Raw genomic sequence first — 4517 nt, 5'->3', positions numbered from 1 at the left:
GGCATCCTTGTTTTGTTCCAGTTTTCAAGGGGAATGCTTTCAGCTTTTGCCCATTCAGTATTATATTGACTTTGAGTCTGTCATAAATATCTCTTATTATTTTGAGATATATTCATTCATTACCTAGTTTATTGAGAGTTTTTAACATGAAAGGATGTTGAATATTATCAAAGGACTTTTATACATCTATTGAGATAATCATATGGTTTTTGTCTTTAGTTCTGTTTATGTGATGAATTACATTTATTCATTTGCTGATGTTGAACCAGCCTTGCATCCTGGGGATGAAGCCAACTTGATCATGGTGGATAAGCTTTTTGGTTTGTCAGTAATTTATTGAAGATTTTTGCACTGATGTACATCAGGGAGCAAATGACCAAAATTCAAGAGAACAAATAAATAATAAAAGTAGACCCATACTGATTCAGATATGTTAGTCACCAGAAAGAAATATTATTAAACGTATGATGAATAATTTTCATAAATATTATAAAAATTAGAAATTTTCACCAAATAACCTTAATATTTAAGAGTCACTGCCAAGAACTAAATATTTAAATTTAAATTTAGAATTGAAAGCACAGATTTAATAGTAGATTTGACATGTCAGGGAAAGAATAAGTAACCTGGAGAGTAAATTGGTAGAAAATACCCACATATTTTAAAATGCAGAAATGGACATCATATTTGCCTATCAATATGTGTGTGTGTGGCATAGTGAAAAATCTGAGGTATGTATAGTTGAAGTCTCAGAAGGGGAGGAGAAAGAAAGATACTTAGATAGAAGCAATATTTGAAGAAATATCTGCTACAATTTTTTCCAAAAAAGGGGAAACATCAATGTACAGATGTATGAAAACTTATAAATACCTAGTACAGATACAAAACAAACAAAACAAATAATTTCCTGGCATATCATAGTAACATTTCTAAAAGCCATTGATAAGACATCAAAACTCTCCTGAATTCCTTCATCACATTTCTGATTTTTTTCTAATTCTGATTTGCATTATTCCTTCATGTTTTTCATAATTTTCCAAGTATATGTTAACTCATTTTAAAATGAGTTACACTTCTGATTTTGGTTGTGCACCTAGCCTTCTGATGTGCTTTTGTTGTCTTCAGGGAGGTTATTCTGCTCCTTATTCTACATCTTTGTACTGGGTCTTATCATGATATTTTTCTGTTGCTCTTCCTCATGTAAAATTAGTATCCTTAAACTCTTAGAATTGAAGTGTGGTTCACTAAACAATTTCCAGCCTCACAGAACTTACTCTTCTATTGTTTTTGTGTAAAGTTTAACACTATAGATGCTTGCTTTTTGAGATTTTCTGGCTCTTCCCTCAGAATCTTTGGTCTGTAGACTCTCTTCCCTTCTTCATTCTTGTCCCTATCCTGATCAATTTTGATTCCACCATCAGCAGTTTATCTTCACAGGCTGTATTTTGAAGGAAAATTCGATGAATCAATTTGAGAAACAGTGAGAGCAAGACTGCCTCTGGGGAAGTTCATTTATCCCTTTCTGGGAACCCTTTGCACTCACTCACTATTAGAGTGAACAAAACCCCTGCCCATTTTAGCTGCTGCCTTAAAACCAAACTCCTTATGCTACAATGAATACCAATTGGCTATTTGGGTATTATCCTTTTCTCATGTCATTGTCAGATGCCACTCCAATTTTGTTTTTCTTATTTCTCCAGCACTAATGCCAATACTATTCAGGCCTTTTGATGGCGTATGTGTACCCACTTTTATTTTAGCATCCATAGGAATAATTTTTCATCTAGTTTTATTGTCAGTGTTGTCCAAGGATTTTGTTTTTTTTCCTTAGAGTTGTTCTACATATTTTTATTTGTGGATTTGGAAAGAATGAAAAATAAAGCCACTGCTGCAACCATTTTTATAAAAGTGATTATGCCTTGTTGCAGGAAGTCAGGGACCCCAAACAGAGGGACTGGCTGAAGCCATGGCAGAAGAACATGGATTGTGAAGATTTTATGGACATTTATTAGTTCCCCAAATTAATACTTTGGTAATTTCTTATGCCTGTCTTTACTGCAGTCTCTAAACATAAATTGTAAAGATTTCATGGACACTTATCACTTCCCCAATCAATACCCTTGTGCTTTCCTATGCCTGTCTTTACTTTAATCTCTTAATCCTGTCAGCTGAGGAGGATGTATGTTGCTTCAGGACCATGTGATAATTGCGTTAACTGCAAAAATTGTATAGCATGTGTGTTTGAGCAATATGAAATCTGAGCACCCTGAAAAAAGAATAGGATAACAGCAATTGTTCAGAGAATAAGAGAGAGAACCTTAAACTCTGAGCCAGGCAGAACAGAGCCATATTTCTCTTCTTTCAAAAGCAAATGGGAGAAATGTCACTGAATTCTTTTTCTCAGCATGGAACGTCCTTGAGAAAGAGAATAAGCGCCTGGAGGTATGGGCTTATAAACAGCCCCCTTGGGCGTGGCCTGTTTCTTATGGTTGAGGCTGCAGGGGTGAAATAGACCCCAGTCTCCCATAGTGCTCCCAGGCTTGTTAGGGAGAGGAAATTCCCACCTAATAAATTTTGGTCAGACCCGTTGATCTCAAAACGCTGTCTCCTGATAAGATGTTATCAATGACAATGGAGCCCGAAACCTCATCAGCAATTTTAATTTCGCCTCGGTCCTGTGGTCCTGTGATCTCACCCTGCCTCCACTTGCCTTGTGATATTCTATTATCCTGTTAAGTACTTGATGTCTGTCACCCACACCTATTTGCACACTCCCTCCCCTTTTGAAAATCCCTAATAAAAACTTGCTGGATTTTGTGGCTTGTGGGGCATCACGGATCCTACCAACATGTGATGTCTCCCCCAGACGCCCAGCTTTAAAATTTCTCTCTTTTGTACTCTGTCCTTTTATTTCTCAAGCCGGCTGACACTTAGGAAAAATAGAAAAGAACCTATGTGATTATCGGGACAGGTCCCCCGATAATGCCTTTTATGAGATAAGCATTGATTTCACAACTTGACCAAAATATTGCAAGTTAGTAAGATCAGAGGACAAATGTCTCATGAATTTAAGTGCAGAAATACTAAACAAAGCATTGGCAAATAAATGTTAGCAATATGTAAAAACGATAGTACATTACGATGAGTTGGTATTTATTCCAGCAATGCAAGGCTCTCCAAACATAAAATAATCAATGTCAGTCACCATATTAATGAAGTAAAATAGGAAAATCACAATATCATTTAATATATACACAAAAAAGACATCTGATAATGATAATTACCCATTTATAATTTTAAATGCCTTCCCAAATACCTAGGGGAAGAAATTAAACTTTCTTAAGCTTATAACATTTCCATGAAATATTGTATTTTATTTAGCTGTGAAATATTAAAAACTTATTCCTGAGATAAAAAATGAGCAATGATATCCACTGACATGAACCCTATTCAATGGTATATTAGAAAGTCAAAGCTAGTGGATAAGCCTCACCACTACCCTCTACCAAAAAGTAAAAGAACTAAGAAAATTGTTATCATTCCCATATGACATAAATATTTATATTGAGAAATACAAAAGGATTCACTGATAAACTCTAAAAATCAATAAATTATCTTAGGAAGGTTTCTGAATACAAGTTAATATATAAAATCAACTGTATTTCTATATTTTCTATATTTTCTATATTTCTATCTACTGTAACAAATTGATAATAGTGAAAATTTTCAAAGCTATCATTTATAAAAGTATCAAAATTAAATCTATAGAAATAAATGTAAAAATATGTGAAAGAGATCTACACAGATTTAAAGCATTTATGTAAGAATTACAGAAGATAAACAAATGGAGAACTATATCAAGTTTATGGATTGCAAAATTCAATATGATAAAGGTCTTATCTCTCAATTAATCTATAGATTTACCCATTATAACTCAAAAGCAAAGCATTTTCTTTTATGGAAGCAAAAAAGCTAATTCTAAAATTTATGTAGAAATGCAAGCAAAAGACCCTAAATAATGAAGCTCATATTACTAGACATTCAAACATATTTAAATATCTATTGTAATTTAAAAGATGTGTACGTGCATAGGGATATACAAATAATTATACCAGAAACAGAATAGTGAATTCACATTTAGATCCACGATGACTCCAGACAAATGAATTATCTATCATTAAGGTACCACTGCAGTGCAGAAATGATGACCTTTGGATAAATGTTAAATAAACACGAAATTTACATGAGAAACCTTGGTCTGTACCTCCAACCATACACAGAATCAATTCCAGATGAATCACATGTCTAAGTGTGAAAATAAAGCTTCTTAAAGATGACATTGGTTCACTGAGACTGTTTCCTGATGAGGGCAAGCTAGGCTTCAGGGACAGCAAGAAAATGGGATCAGGCTCTCATCATCATTCCAATAATGTTTTTGTTAGTAAATAAATTACTAACATGTAAATCATTCCTGGATATTCTTTATTTCCTTAAGGTTATAAATGTGTGCTCTGAGA

The 4517-nt window shown here is 33.8% G+C and overlaps 1 annotated feature.

The window, feature by feature from the left end:
• Window positions 2170-2955: an enhancer, noted in NCBI's record as "OCT4-NANOG hESC enhancer chr5:161078661-161079446 (GRCh37/hg19 assembly coordinates)". NCBI's record gives its function as "activates a minimal SCP1, AML or CMV promoter by ChIP-STARR-seq in primed H9 embryonic stem cells {active_cell/tissue: H9 hESC(primed)}" and the evidence as "EXISTENCE:reporter gene assay evidence [ECO:0000049][PMID:30033119]".

The sequence above is a fragment of the Homo sapiens genome, chromosome 5, assembly GCF_000001405.40.
Source record: "Homo sapiens chromosome 5, GRCh38.p14 Primary Assembly".
Lineage (NCBI taxonomy): Eukaryota > Metazoa > Chordata > Mammalia > Primates > Hominidae > Homo > Homo sapiens.
This window is presented reverse-complemented; position numbering and strand designations above follow the sequence as displayed.